The sequence below is a fragment of the Homo sapiens genome, chromosome 3, assembly GCF_000001405.40.
Source record: "Homo sapiens chromosome 3, GRCh38.p14 Primary Assembly".
Lineage (NCBI taxonomy): Eukaryota > Metazoa > Chordata > Mammalia > Primates > Hominidae > Homo > Homo sapiens.
The window spans coordinates 191,405,787-191,422,727 of NC_000003.12; positions in this window are offsets into that span (position 1 = coordinate 191,405,787).

Sequence of the window (16,941 nt, forward strand, 5' to 3'; positions counted from 1 at the left end):
GCTCCTAGGCCTCTGGGCCTGTGATGCGAAGGGCCACCTCAGATATTTCTGTAATGCCTTGAGACCTTTTTTAAAATCGTCTTGGCTATTAGGACATGACTCCCATTTATTCATGCTAATATCTCTAGCAATGGTTGCTTGCTCAAATTCCTCACCTGGAAATGCTCTTTCCTTCTCTACCACATGGCCAGGGTATAGATTACCCAAATTGTTATGCTCTACTTCCCTTTTAATGATAAGTTCCAACTGTAAGTTCTTTCTGTGCTCCCATATCTGATCACTGGCCATGAGAAGCTAGCACACCAAATCTTGCATGCTTTGCTGCTTAGAAATTCTTCCACCAGATACCCTAAGTCATCACTCAAGTTCAGTCTTCTGCAAAGTCATAGGGCATTGGCAAATGCAGCGATGTTCATTGCTAGGGCATTACAAGAGCAATCTTTGCTCCAGTTCCCAGTAAGTTCCTCATTTCCATCTGAGACTTCATCAGTCCAGCATTCACTCTCCATATTTCTATTAGCATTTTGGTTACAATCATTTAAACAGACTCTAAGAAGTTCCAAACTTTCTTTGTCTTCCTGTCATCTTCTGAGCCCTCCAAACTATTCCAACCTGTGCCTACTACCCAGCTTTAAAGCTGCTTCCACATTTGCAGGCGTTGTTATCACAATGCCCCACTCCTTGGTACCAATTTTCTGATTAGTCAATTTTGTATTTCTATAAGGCAATAGTTGAGGCTGGGTAATTTATAAAGAAAAGAGGTTTATTTGGATCATGGTTCTGTAGACTGTACAAGAAATATGTCACCAGCATCTGCTTCTGGTGAAGGCCTCAGGAAGCTCCCAATCATGGTGGAAAGTGAAGGAAAAGCAGACATGTCATATGACAAGAGAGGGAGCAAGAAAGAGGGAGAAGTTCCCAGACTCTTTTTAACAACCATATCTCATGTGAATATATTACTATGGGGAGAGCACCAAGCCTTTCATGAGGGATCTGCCTCTGTGACACAAACACCTCCCACCAGCCCCACCTCCAACACTGGAGATAATGCTTCAACATGAGATTTGGAGGATACAAATATCCAAACTATGTCAGCCTTTTATATCTTTTTTACGTCTACTTTTTCTGCCTAGAATTTACAGTACAATATTGAGTAACAGCAGTGAAAGTGGGCATGAGAGGGCAATGCTTACCTCTTAGAATGAGTTAGGAATTGCTGCCTCCTATTCTATTTTTTGGAGGAGTTTGGGAAGGATTATTTTCCATTCTTATTTATTTATTTAGAGAGTTGACCAGCAAATCCATGTGGTCCTATGCTTTTTAAATTTTTTAAATTTTTTTTTTTTGAGATGGAATCTCGCTCTGTCACTTATGCTGGAGTGCAGTGGCACTATCTCAGCTCACTGCAACCTTTGCCTCCCGGGTTCAAGCGATTCTCCTGCCTCAGCCTCCCGAGCAGCTGGGACGACAGGCGCGTGCCACCATGCCCGGCTAATTTTTTGTATTTTTAGTAGAGATGGGGTTTCACTGTGTTAGCCAGGATAGTCTCGATCTCCTGACCTCGTGATCCACCTGCCTTGGCCTCCCAAAGTGTTGAGATTACAGGCATGAGCCATCGCGCCCATACTGGGAGTGTTTTAATTACTGATTCAATTTCTTACTACAGGTCTGTTGGGATTATTCATTTCTTCTTGAGTTGGTTTAGGCAATTTGTGTTTCTAGGAATTGGTTCTTTTCATCTAGGTTATCTAACTTATGGGTATACAATTGTTCATATTATTATAATCTTTTTTATTTTTGTAAATTTGGGATAATCCTTTTTATTTTTGTAAGATTGATAGTAATGTTTCTACTCTTATTTCTAATTTTAGTTATTTGCTGCTTTGCTTTTTGTCAGTCTTAACTAAAGGCTTATAATTTCATTTATCTTTTCAAATAAACAACTTTTGGTTTTGTTGATTTTGTTGTTTTTCTATTCTCTATTTCATTTATCTCTACTCTGATCTTCATTCTTTCCCCCTTCCTGCTAGTTTTTTCCTGTTTCCTCAAAGTATAAAGTTAGATTAATGGTTGGAGATTTTTCTCTTTATATGGGTATATGCAGTTATAAGGTTCCTTCTGAGTATTGCCTGTGCTTCATCCTCTAAATTTTGGTATTGTGTGTATGTGTGTGTGTGTGTGTGTGTTTATCTTTATTACTTTCTAAGTATTTCCTAGTTTACCTTTTGATTTTTTTTCTTTATCTCATTGGTTTTAGAGGGATGTGTTAATTTTCACACATTTGTAGTTTTTCCATATTCATTACATTGACTTCCAATTTCATTAAATTGTGATCAAAGAAGATACTTTGATTTTGACTTTATTAAATTTATTAAGAGTTACTTTTTGGCCCAACATAGTCTATTCTGGACAATGTTCCATATGCACTTGAGAAGAATGTGTGTTCTGCTGTTGATGGGTGGAGTGTTCTATATATGTTTGTTAGGTTTAATGGGTTTATAGTGTTATTCAAATCCTCTACTACTTTATTGGCCAACTGTTTAGATGTTCTCATTAATAAAAGTGGTGTATTGGAGCCTTCAACTATTATTGTAAAATTATTTTTCCCTTCAATTCTGTCAGTGTTTGCTTTATATATTTTGAAGCTATGTTTGGTGCATATATATTTATAATTTTTGTAGTTTCTTGATGAATTTACTTTTTTATCAATATAGAATGTCTTTATTTTTTGTAATTTTTTTTAGACATAAAGTCAGTTTTGCCTGGTACTAGTATAGCTACCCCAGGTCTCTTTTGGTTACCATTAGCATGGAATATTCTTTTCCTTCCTTTCACTTTAACCTATTTGTGTCTTTAGATTTAAAGTGGGTCTCTTGTAGACAGAATATAATTGAATAATTTTTTAAAAATCCATTCTGCCAACCACTGCCTTTTCATTAATGAATTTTAATCCATTGACAATTGAAGTAACTTTTGTTAAAGAAGGACTTCTGCTTGTTTGATATCTGTCTTCCAAATGGATAAATCCTTTTTTCTGTTCCTCATTTTCTCTATTATTATTTTCTTTTGTGTTTAGTTGATATTTTTAAATGAATTGTTTTGCTTCCTTTTTCAGTTTCTTTTATTTTTTTAAATATTGTCTTGGTGACTACAATGGGGATTACATTTATCATAATAAATTTGTAACAGTCTAGTTTGAATTGACATCAACTTCAATAGCATACAAAAACTTTGTTCCCTTTACACTTGGACACAGGGTGGGGAACTTCACACACCAGGGCCTATCGTGGGGTGTGGGGAGGGGGAGGGATAGCATTAGGAGAAATACCTAATGTAAATGACGAGTTAATGGGTGCAGAACACCAACATGGCACATGTGTACATACGTAACAAACCTGCACATTGTGCACATGTACCCTAGAACTTAAAGTATAATAATAAAAAAACTTTGTTCTCTTTATGTTGCTGTTGTGACATATTATATCTTTATACATTTTATGCCCAATAGCATAGATCTATAATTATTTTTATGCTTTTGTTTTTTAAATAATGTACAGCAGGGATCCTCAACCCTTGGTACTGGTCCATGGCCCATTTGGAATTGGGCCACACAGCAAGAGGTGAGTGGTAGGCGAGTGAGCATTACCTCCTGAGCTTCACCTCCTGTCAGATCAGTGGTGGCATTAGATTCTTATGAGCATGAACCCTATTGCGAACTGGGCATGCGAGGGATCTAGGTTGTATGCTCTTTATGAGAATCTAATGCCTGATGATCTGGGGTGGAGCAGTTTCACCTAAAATCATCCCCATCCCTGGTCCATGGAAAAATTGCCTTCCACAAAACCAGTCCCTGATGCCAAAAAGGTTTGGGAATGCTGCTGTAGGACACAAAAAGTAGAGTTATAAATTAAGAATACCATAGTGCTGGATTTTACATTCACTCATGTAGTTACATTTATCAGAGCCCTTTGTCTCTTCACACAGTTTTGAGTTATTACCAGTGTCCTTTCATTTCAGCCTGAAGGTCTACCTTAGTATTTCTTTCAAGACATGTCTAGTGGTAACAGACTCCCTCAGTTTTTGTTTACCTTGGAATGGCCTAATTTCTCCCTTATTTTTGCCTGATATAGAAATTTTGGTTGTCAGTCTTTTTCATTCAGCACTTTAAATATGTCATTCCACATGCTTTTAGTTTTCATAGTTTCTGACGGGGGAATTGGCTGTTTATCCTAATGCGGCTCCCTTGTACAAGAGGAGTTGCTTCATCTTGCTGCTTTCAATATTTTTTGATTTTTGAGAGTTTGATTATAATGTGCCTCAACGTGGGTGTCTGAGTTTATCTTAGCTGGGATTTGTTGAGATTCTTGGGTGTGTATATTCATATCTTTCATCATATTTAAGACAATTGTTTTAAAGTCTTTGTCTAGTAAGCCCACTACCTGGGCTTTCTCAGGGATAGCATCTGTTCATTTATTTTGTTCCTTTAAGTAGGCCATATTTTTCTGTTTCTTTATATAACTTGTGATTTTTGTTGTTGAAAACTGGACATTTGAATATGATAACCCTGGAAATCAGATGCTCACCCTTCCCTGGGGTTTGCATTTTCTTTCTATATTTATTGTTGAAGGTTGTAGTAGTCCATTGTCTAGTGACATTTCCAAACTATTTTGGCAGAGTCTATATTGCTTGTCATATATAGTTCTTTAGTTTTTTTTTTTTTAATCTCATGTTTGACAGAGATTTCCTTGAACATCAGAGGTGGAGCCAGTGTTGGGGGCAAACAAGTACCTCTTTCAGGCTTTGCAGATTGGCTCTTTTCTAGGACCCTTCCCTTCTTGAACACTTAGCCTGATTTTCACTGAGACGAGAGATTCATCCAAGGTGAAACTTAAGATCTTTTGAGGTCTTTTTTGAGCATGGTTCTTGCCCTTGGCATATGTATGGCATTCTAAATTCCCCCATAAATACAGGTAACTTTGATTGCTAAGAAACTCTCTTCCCAGGTTTCTCTCTTAAGCCTTGGTCTGTTTGTTGTATGTCTCAACTTTAATCTCCTGCCTTAGATGTCAGTGGGTTGCTCATCCACTTTGCAGTGTTTTCAAATAAGGCCCACTACGTTTCTGGCCTTGGTGATTTTTCCAGTTAGACCAACTAAGATAAGCACCTTGCATGACTCTTTCAGATCACCCTGTCAGGTTAGAACAGACCTGTATGATAATTTGCATATAAGGTCTGCTATACTTCCTCTGGTATTAGGGAACAGGATCCCATACTGGGAATGTGGGCTGCTTTCTTCAAGAGTGTTGCTGAGCCAGGAGAGTGTGGGGCATGAGCAAGTAAAATACCAGAAAGCTTTTCAACCATTTATAAATTAGCTTTTCCTTGATTCCATGTTCACTAGGTGGCTGTAAGCCTTTGATTGTTTTCCAGAGTTCTGACAATGTTGATTCTGAAAGTTTCTGCTTGTTTTTTGATTTGTGTGTGTGTGGTTGGGATTGGTGGGGACCAAGGGGTTTGAGACTGCCTACTTGGTCCTTTTGCTAATTTCTTAAGGAAATTGACTTATCTTGTAGATTGTTAGAAAATTTATCTTAATACTTTTAATGAAATAATTGTTATTAATACATTGTGGAGTACTGGTTAGCTGTCAGATGAAGAAGATCTCAGCCATAAAGTGATCTACAGGATACATTTTTAAATGAGAAAAGAAAGGTGGAGAAAACATGAAAGTTTCTCATCATGTATCTGGAAAAAGGAGTTTGGGAGATCATGCCATTGTGTGTGCATATTTGCTTATATTATGGAAAATGGAGTAACAAAATTTTTGAGTTTGCTATAGGAAGGGAGAAAATATATGTGCGTTGGAGATGTAGAATCTAGATATAATGGAATATTCCTTATTTTGTAGATTTGATGTGAGAATTAGGTATTTCAAATAATCATGAAACAAAATTTTACAAATACAAAGCAAACTTTATTAATGTAAAATGAAAGACGTTAACTTAATTGTATCCAGCTGGTTAATGCTCATACAGAAATGAACTATTTCAAATGACCTTATGTATCTCCCTCTCTCTCTCTCTCTCTCCCTCTCCCCCCTCCCTCCCTCTCTGTCTCTCTCTCATCTCTCTGTCTCTCAATAGACACATCCACATATTAAAAAAAATTTTTCAACCGTCTTTGTCCATTGAAAAGGCCTAGAAACAGTGGGCACACAATGGCAAGGTCAGAAATACAGAAAGGAATAAGTATAAATAAGTGTATATTGGTAAATATAAATGAATATTGACTGTTTAAACAATATCACATGGGTTAAAAATTTAAATTAAAATACATGAAAATGATATATAAATTATGAAAAAGTAAAAAGTTAGATTCTGATTAATAGATCTGGGGTGGGGATGGAGATTTTGCATATTTTTCCTATTTCTTCTAAAAATTTCAATAGTTTTGGGGGTACAGGTGGTTGTTGGTTACATGCATAAGTTCTTTAGTGGTGAATTCTGAGAGTTTGGTGTATCTTTCACCCAAGCAGTGTACATTGCACTTAATATGTGTCTTTTTTATCCTTTACGAAAAGTTAAATTTTTATTTTTAGTTCTGGGGTACATGTGAAGGATGTGCAGGTTTGTTACACAGGTAAACGTGTGCCAAAGTGGTTTGTTCCACCTATCAACCCATTACCTAGGTATTAAGCCCAGCATGCATTAACTATTTTTCATTTTTAACAAATTCCCGGATTATTTTTATTCTTTCTGTCTAAGAAAACATTGTGGCTAGCAAGGCATAGTGTCTTTACTATCTTGGAAGAAGTAACATAGTAGTAGACTTTAATATGTCAGGTGTGATTGATGTAATCATTATTATAACTATAAAAAGAGTAGTAAAAGAATATAAAACTACCTGTGAAGCAGATTCACTCTGCACTCTTCACCTTATCTGAGTCTGGTGAGACAGAACACACTCATACACAAGTTACATGAAGTGGTTTATTACTTATCGATAGGCAGCAAAGGACAACAGTAGCCTAGGATTCTTCACAAGCCAGTCCCCCAAAGATCAGGAAAACTGCCTTGGACAGATGGAGTCTCATCTGTGTGGGTCTAACTTGCAGCACAGCTGAGGGAACCTGGAAAGAAGCCCAACCAGAGTTTTATACCCAGAGGCATTGTGTTTCACTGTGATTCAGTGCTAAAGCACTGAAAGACATCCTGTTTCTCTGGGGAGACTGAAACAGAGCCCAGGCTCTTCTGCCCCAGCCCCCCATATCTCAGGATGCTGCATTTCCACCACATTCTACAGTTATTCTTGAGAATGACAAGCAAGAAAAAGGAGAGAACTGGATTGGTCCAAGGCCATCTGGACAACTGTCCTGCACTCTCAAGTTAATGGTGAAGGAAATGAAATAATAAAATATAATTGGTTTGAAAAGAACTTAAGAAAAAATGGAAGAAATAGTAGTTAGATGGTAGACTCAAACCCAAATGTTTGTGAACTAAATGTTCCAATTGAAAGACAAGATTGTCAGGCTGGTAAAACTATATGCAGCTTTATAAGAAATATAAGAAATATTTAAAATATATGACAAAGAATGAAAGTAAAGGATTAAAAAAAGATGGTCATGGAAACTAACCAAAAGAAAGCCGTGGTAAATATCAGAAAAGGTAATCTTTAATGAAGAATATTACGGCCAGGAGCAGTGGCTTATGCCTGTAATCACAGCACTTTGGGAGGCAGAGGCCAACAGATCACTTGAGGTCAGGAGTTCGAGACCAGCCTGGCCAACATGGTGAAACCTCGTCTCTACTAAAAATATAAAAAATTGCCAAGCGCGGTGGCTCACGCCTGTAATCCCAGCACCTTGGGAGGCCGAGGTGGGTGGATCACGAGGGAGATCGAGACCATCCTGGCTAACTCGGTGAAACCCCGTCTCTACTAAAAATACAAAAAATTACCGGGGTGTAGTGGCAGGCACCTGTAGTCCCAGGTACTCAGGAGGCTGAGGCAAGAGAATGTCGTGAACCCAGGAGGCGGAGCTTACAGTGAGCCGAGATCGCACCACTGCACTTCAGCCTGGGCAACAGAGCGAGACTCTGTCTCAAACAAACAAAAAAAAATTTTGCTGGGAGTGGTGGTGCATGCTTGTAATCCCAGCTACTTGGGAGGCTGAGGCAGAAGAATCACTTGAACCCGGGAGGCAGAGGTTGCAGTGAGCTGACATCGCACCATTGCACTCCAGCCGGGGTGACAAGAGTCAAGCTCCATCTCAAAAATAATAATAACAATAAATAAAAATAAAAGAATATTACTGGAGAAAAATAGAAACATTTTGTAAAAGTAACTTCTCCTCACCTGGAATATTTTGAAAAACTGGACAAATGAACTTTTGTAACAGTCAAAGCTTATCTAGATTGGGCTGCTCAGGAAGTTGCAAGTTATCTCCCATATTGTGCTCCAACCATTCCAAACTCACTTTCTCCAAACACACAGGCTGTTTTATAGTTCTGTGAGTAGATACAAACAAAATCTTTTTAGTGTGAGAATTTCCCCAAGGTAGCATGGGGCTACACTGGAGATTTTGATTTCTCACCGAATACAACCTCTTGTCCCTGTTGCCTACTGTAGTGCCTGACACATAGAGCTCAAAAATCATGGATAACTCTGTGGATGGAAAGAAAAGAGGACTCCTCAGGCCTTCTCCAACTCTGACGTTCTTGGAATTCCAATTTACTGAGCAGAGCCTTACTCAAGATCTGATGAATCAATTAATGAGTATTAGGAGGGGTCAAGGGCAAAATCAGGATCAGAGGAGATCATCTAAAAATAGCTAGTGTTTTTAACCTATCAGTTATTAATAGTTTATGTTTGCAGACATGTTTGGGTTCAGAGATTTGCAAAGAAGGTCCCTTATTTTTCTTTGTAGTTTTTGCTAAGGAAGGGGATGGAGAAAAGGGACAGCCTCACCAGGACTGTGAGTGTCAAATGGCATGTCTGTCTATGAGTGTCAAATGGCATGTCTATATGTACCCTCTCCTCTCCTCCCCCATCACTGGGGATCATTCATTTTGAATTCCCAGAATCTTTTCCACTCAGCATTCAATGGTCCATCTCTAATTCCTACCTACTGTCATCCTATTACCCTCTAGGTGGCCCTCTTTGAGAAGCTAAACCACACACATAGCTGTAAAGAACACAAAAAGCCCACACCTGTCCTGGAGGAAGAAGCATTCTGCATGCTGACAAAGTTTGAAAATGCAGTTACTCCCTGTATTAGGCCATTCTCACATTGTTATAAAGAGATACCTCAGACCGGGTAATTTATAAAGAACAGAGAGGTTTAGTCTGGTGGCAGTGGCTCACACCTGTAATTCCAGCACTTTGGGAGGCCGAGGCAGACAGATCACCTGAGGTCAGGAGTTTGAGACCAGCCTAGCCAGCCTAGCCCATTTCTACTAAAAATACAAAAAATTAGCCAGGCATGGTGGCGCCTGCCTATAGTCCCAACTACTTGGGAGGTTGAGGCAGGAGAATCGCTTGAACCTGGGACAGGGAGGTTGCAGTGAGCTGAGATGGCACCACTGCACTCCAGCCTGGGTGACAGAGTGAGACTCCGTCTCAAAACAAAAACAAAAAAACAGAGGATTAATTGGCTCATGGTTCTATGGGCTGTGCAGGAAACATGGTGACAGCTGCTTCTGGGGAGGCCTCAGGAAGTTTATAATCATGTAGGAAGGCAAAGAGGAAGAAGCCACATCACGTGGTGAAAGCAAGAGCAAGAGAGCGAGAGGGGAAGTGTCACACACTTTTCAACGACCAGATCTGGGGAGAATCACTCACTATTGCCAGGACAGTACCAACAGTACGGTACTAAACCATTCATGACAAATCCACCCCCAAGATCTAGTCACCTCCCACCGGGCCCCCCCTCCAACACTGAGGAATACAATTCAATATGAGATTTGAGTGGGAATGCAGATCCAAACCATATTACTCCCCTAGTCGCAGCCCCCGTATTTTGCTCCCACAGGCCATGTGACTGGCCTCTTGGCAGGCTCTCACAGTGGTCCGGTTGATGCCCCTCAATAAGCCTGAATTAAGGCGTAGGCACTTCCTACCCTCTCCCCACTCTGAGGACAGATGGTGGTTTTCGGCACTGAACACATCAGTGATTCTCCAAAATTGATCCAAAAATTGATGAAATCGGCTGGGCACGGGTGGCTCACGCCTCTAATCCTAGCACTTTGGGAGGCCGAGGCGGGTGGCTCACCTGAGGTCAGGAGTTTGAGATCAGCCTGGCCAACATGGTGAAACCCTGTCTCTACTAAAAATACACCAAATTAGCCAGGCGTGGTGGCAGGCACCTGTAGTCCCAGCTACTCGGGAGGCTGAGGCAGAAGAATCGCTTGAACCAGGAGGCCGAGATTGCAGTGAGCCAAGATAGCGCCACTGCACTCCAGCCCAGGTGACAGTGCAAGACTCCGTCTCAAAACACAAAAAAAATTGATAAAATCTTTCTCAGATTTTTATTTTCCAGTGATTTTATACCGTCAATCTACATGAGAATTTCAGGTGTCATCTAATCATTTTTTATCACCTACTTTGAAATTTCTGCCTGATACTATCACTTTAGAATGTACTATCTGTAGCATATTGTAAAGTACAAATACAGTGCAAGACATATATGTGATTTACAATTCTCTAGTAACCATATTTTAAAAGGTAGAAAATTATGAGTTGCGAAAATTTTATTTAATACATCTAAAATATTATCTTAGCATGTAATCAATACATTATTATATATTTTACTTTTGTTTTTGCCACTAAAACGCTTCAAATGTGGTGTATATTTATCGGCCTTTCAATTTGAACTAGGAACTTTTCAAGTGCTCATGAGTCACAGGCGACTAGTGACTACCATATTGGACAGTCCACTTGTTATCTATGTCAGCTCAAATGAACAACATTTAAACATGTTAACTAGTGTTATACAGTTATGGAAGTGAAAGTTTTTTTTTTTTTTTTTTTGAGACGGAGTTTCGCTCTTGTCGCCCAGGCTTGAATGCAATGACGAGATCTCGGCTCACTGCAGGTTCCAGCGATTCTCCTGCCTCAGCCTACTGAGTAACTGGGATTACAGGCATGCGCCACCACACCTGGCTAATGTGTGTGTGTGTGTGTGTGTGTGTGTGTGTGCGCGTGTGTAGTTTTAGTAGAGATGGGGTTTCAGCATGTTGGCCAGCCTGGTCACAAACTCCTGACCTCAGATAATCCGCCCGCCTCGGCCTCCCAAAGTGATGGCATTTTATAAACTTCCCAGTAATTGGTAAGTGTGAAGTGGTGTCTCACCTTCACCAGACTGAACTGTTTCTTTACATGTTGTACTCTCATTGTGCCAGCAGAGGGCACCTGGAGATGGCAAGACAGTATTAACCTTGAAGCACTCCCAGACTGAGACTATCTACTGGATTGGCTGAATGTGAAAACCAAGGCACCAATTCAGTTAGAAAAAAAAAAAATCCTACCTTTACAAAAGCAGTACTTTATCAATGAGTAAACATATCTCATTGTGTTTCAAAGATACTACTAGTAGATGCTAATTGTAGAAAATCTGAGAATATTGACAAGTAGACTTTAAGAGAAGAGTTTGAAGAAAATAGAAAAGAAAGTGCATTATTGCAAAAAGTAGCCAGTCGTGGTGGTGCGTGTCTGCAGTCCCAGGTACTCGGCTGGCTGAGGCGGGAGGATCACTTGAGCCTGGGAGGTCAACGCTGCAGTGAACCGTGGTCATGTCACTGCACTCCAGCCTGGGTTACAGAGCCAGACTCTGCCTCAAAAAAAAAAAAAAAAAAGAAAGAAAAATAATAGAAAGTGCATTATTGACAATAAAATTCCTGATAGAGGAGCCAGAGACATATATTCATATATGTTTTATATATAAAACACAGACCTAAATGTGTATATATAAGAAATTGCCCTTACATATATGAGAAACTTGCCTAATATACACCTATATGTGCATATATAAGAAACTGGCCTTTTATAGACATATCTCATTGTGTTTCAAAGATACTGTGTTTTTTTTTTATAAATTGAAGGTTTGTGGAAACCCTGCATTGAGCAAATCTCACCACCATTTTCCTAACAGTATTTCAAACTTCATTATTGTTATATCTGTTATGGTGATTTGCAATCAGTGATCCTTATGTTACTATTGTAATTGTTTTGGGGCATCATAAACTATGCCCAAATAAGATGGTTAATTTAGTAGATAAATACTGTTTGTGTTCTGACGGCTCTACCAATAGCCATTCCCCTATTTCTCTCCCTCACCTCGGGCCTCAGTATTCCCTGAGATACAACAATATTGAAATGAGGCTATTTAATAACCCTACAGTGGCCTCCAAGTGTCCAAGTGAAAGGTAGAGTTGTGCACCTCACACTTTCAATCTAATGCTAGAAATGATTGAAGTTCAGTGAGGAACATATGTCAAAAGTTGAGACAGGCTGAAAGCTAGGCTTCTTGCACCAACCAGCCAAGTTGTGAATGTAAAGGTTTTGAAGGAAATTAAAAGTGCTACTCCAGTGAATACACGAGTGATAAAGTGAAAGAGCCTTATTGCTTATATGGAGAAAGTTTCAGTTCTCTGGATAGAAGATGAAACCAGCCACAAGTCTCCTTTAGCCAAGCCTACTCTAGAAGAAGGCCCTAATGCTCTTCAATTCTTTGAACTATGAGAGAGGTGAGAAAGCTGCAGAAGGAAAGTTTGAAGCTAGCAGAGGTTGGTTCATGAAGTTTGAGGAAAGAAGCCACCTCCATAAAAGCACAAGATGAAGCAGCAAGTGCTGATGTAGAAGCTGTAGCAAATTGTCCAGAAGATCTAGCAAAGATGATCGATGAAGGTGGCTATACCAAACAACAGGTTTTCAATGTGGATGAATCAGCCTTGTATTGGAAGAAGATGTCATCTAGGGCTGTCAAAGCTAGAGTGAAGTTAATGCCTGGCTTAAAGCTTCAAAGGACAGGCTGACTCTCTTTTTAGAAGCTAATGCAGCTGGTGATTTTCAGTTGAAGTCAGTGCTCACCCTTCCAAAAGTCTGAGAATCCTTAAGACTTCTGCTTAATTTACTCTATCTGTGCTCTATGAATGGAAAAATGTAACGTGGATGACAGCACATCTACTTACAGCATGGTTTGCTGAATATTTTAAGCCCACTGTTGAGACCAACTGCTCAGAAAAAAAAATTCCTTTTAAAATATTATTGCTCATTGATGATGCACCTAGTCACCCTAGAGCTTTGATAGAGATATACAAGGATATTAATGTTGTTTTCATGCCTGCTAACATAACATCCATTCTACAGCCCGTAGACCAAGGAATAATTTGAACTTTCAAGTCTGATTATTTAAAAATTTCACATTGTGAGGCCATAGCTGCCATAGATTGTCATTCCTCTGTTGGATCTGGGCAAAGTAAATTGAAAAACTTCTGGAAGGGATTCAACATTTGCGATGCCATTAAAAGCATTCATGATTCATGGGAAGAGGTTAAAATATCAACATTAACAGGAATTCAGAAGAAGTTGATTCTAATCCTCATGAATGACTTGGAGAGGTTCAAGACTCCTGTGGAGAAAATAAATGCAAATGTGATTGAAATAGCAAGATAACAATAATTGGGATGGTGCCTGAATACGTGACTTAATTGTTGCAATCTGATGATCAAACTTGAGTGGATAAGAAGTTGCTTCTTCTGGATGAGCAAAGAAAGTGGTTTCTTAAGATGGAATCTACTCCTGGTGAAGATGCTGTGAACATTGTTAAAATGAAAACAAAATATTTAAAACATTATATAAACTTAGCAGGTAAAGCAACAGCATGGTTTGAGAGCACTGACTCCAATTTTTAAAGTTATATTGTGGATGAAACTCTATCAAATAACATCCCATGCTACAGAGAAATCTTTCATGAAAATAAGTCAGTTGATGCAGCAAATTTCATTGTTGTCTAATTTTAAGAAATTGCCACAGCCACCCCAACCTTTTAGCAACCACCACCCTGATCTGTCAGCAGCCATCAACATCAAGGCAAGACCATCCATCTGCAAAAAGTTTGCAATGGTCTGAAGGATCTTTAGCAGTTTTTAGCAATAAAATATTTTTAAATTAAGGTATAATGCTATTGCACACTTAAACTATGTTAGAGTGTAAACACAACTTTTATGTGCACTGGGAAACCGGAATATTTGTGATATTTGTTTTATTGCAGTGGTCTGGAACTCAATCTGCAATCTCTCAGTGGTATGCCTGTGCATCATATTAGAGTATACATAGGTCATATATAATATGAAGATGAGGGAAAAGAGAATGCAGATGCACATAGGATGTGCTAGTAGAAAGTGAATGGAATTTCTATTTTTGATTTCTTTTTTTCCTTCTGTGTAGTAGAAGGGAATTTCCTGTGTTGAGAACGAGGAGGCAAGGAAGTTTGAGGAACGTGAAATATGACGACAAGTTATGTTCTACAATAGAACAGTGAGATTTAGAAGCTTGTGGAGAATGGTGACAGTTTAGAAGAAGAGCTGAGCTAAATGATAGAGGGGACTGACTAGGAATTGCTGAGCACTGTAGATTGAGAAAACAGCTGTGATTGGACTGTGCTCATTTATTGTGGCATCAATCTTCATGGTTGCTTGGTTTCAGCAGCCACATCGGCAACCCATATGTAGAAGCAGAAGAGGTGAATGGTTGAGAGTGATGCATTGTTGGGGTTCAGATGGGCATGTGTAACAGGGAGGCCTAGAGCCAGAGGAGAGAAAGAGGTTAAGGTAAAGCACTATGAGATCTTTGGGTGAGGCCAGGGGGGCAAGAAGTAACATTCTTGGAGAGTAGGGAAAAGTTTTCCATCAGATCACCACAAGATCAGAGTTCACGGGTCATGAAATAAGGGGATTAGTGTAAAGGATGAATTGTTATAGTCAGAAAGAAAATATTTTAGATATGGTATAGGTCTTGAGCCCATATAGTAAATAACTGAAGTGGAGTGCAAAGAGAGGCAACTATGGTTGAGAACACAAAGACCCATAATCCTACGCTGTTGGAAGTATCATTTTTATGGGCAGTGAGTCCCAGGACATGAAAAGAGGAATTATCATGGAAGCTTGTATTAATATCAAAGAAAACAGATCGGGGAAGGGCAACAATTTCATGATGCTGATCTCCAAGTTAATCCTTGGGTAATCAGGAATTTGTGTAAATTTATAGGCATAGGATTTGGCAATGCTGCTAGGACAAAATGAGAATCCTTTCAAGATAATAAATTTTAAATGTTTTCAGTCCATGCACCATGTGGTTTAAGAGCTTTAGACAGATTTGGATTTAGAATTACGTCCTTGACTTGCCAGCTGTGTGGTTTGGGAAAATTATGTATGGGCTCTGAAACTTAGCTTCTCTATCTTTAAAATGGGAATAATAATATACCATACTTCAACATTTTACAGTGCCCTTTTCAAGGAAAATAGTCAATAAATGATAGCTGCATAATCAAAGGTAAGGAAAAAACCCAGATAGGTTTATTGATAAAAGCCAGAGCATATTCAAACTGCAAAGATGCTCTGAGTTTATTATATATAATAGCCTCACTTGTGGACAAAGCAAGACTGAGAAAGTAGCTGGGAGATGTTCAAGATTATACAGTAGAATTATCAGATTTCCAGCTCTTAGCTGGAATGTATAGCACCATCTTTTTTATTTTTGTTAGACTTTCTGGTATAACTCCTTGGTGTGGACATTCCTTACTTCCCAGTATAAGGAACTCAACACTGCTCAAGAAAATCACTCCATTTTGGGGGGGCTGGGGAGAGGGGAGCAACTGTAAGAGTTAGATTTTTTTCTTTCTGCTGTATAAGTCTATTTTACTTCGTTTCCAATCATTTTGACCTTCGTGTGGCTCTGGCAGTTCTATTTTCTCTTCTGCATGACAGCTCTTCAGCCTTCTGAAAACAGTGACTGTTGCTCCTGAAATTTTACTACTCTGACATAGACATCCCTGGGGTCATCAGTATCTTTTTATGATACAGCCCAGGGCCTTTGCACTTCTGATTGTCTCCTCTTGCCTATTTTAGTCTGTCTTTGTCCCTGCTGAAATCTCACCTCCAGGCATGGTCTGAATGCTACAAAACTGAGTTCAAGCTATTGCTTCCTAAATTTGAACACCGTTCATGCAGTCACAGCCCACATCGATCTTTTATTAAGCTTTCAGTCTATTTTCTCATACACCGTTTTTATGAACATCACCAGAAGTACAGGTGAGTTTTACAATAAAGGGCAGAGCTTGCTCTTTTTCCAGCATTCATTTTGTTAGGTTCGCTTATTGTCTGTGTTTGATGAATTTTTTTTTTTTTTTTTGGATACTGACTTTGGCAAATCGAATTTATGTGCAGATTTGATGAAGACTGGATAAGTTTTCAGTTACTGGTAGCTGCTTCATTTAGAGTCCTGGAAAAATGTCTTCTCAGTCAAAGCCCCTGAGCTTTGCCTCTTCCTGGCACATATGGGAAGATGGGAAGAAGGAGGGCTACATGCAGTCTCTGGCAACATGCCTCTTTGTTATTAGAGATGAGATAAAAACACAGGGCTTGCAAACTCTAGTGCTTGTTACACTGGTCCATGACAGCATTTTCACATCAGAATCAAAAGTATTATTTGTTTTGGGGAAGGATTATTTTTGATTTTCAAATTATGCCCTTTATTCTACTTTGAATTTAAGTTTTTTTTAGTTTATAGGACAAATGTGATAGCGAGAATTTTAGAAACTTGTTTACTTGGGAAAATAACATTTGTCAATCTGTTGATCCACCAAAAAAAAAAAAAATCACGAAAACCTCAATTTTTGGAGATCGCTGGTCTCTAACTTATTAAGATGCATTAAATAAGTTGAGTAAA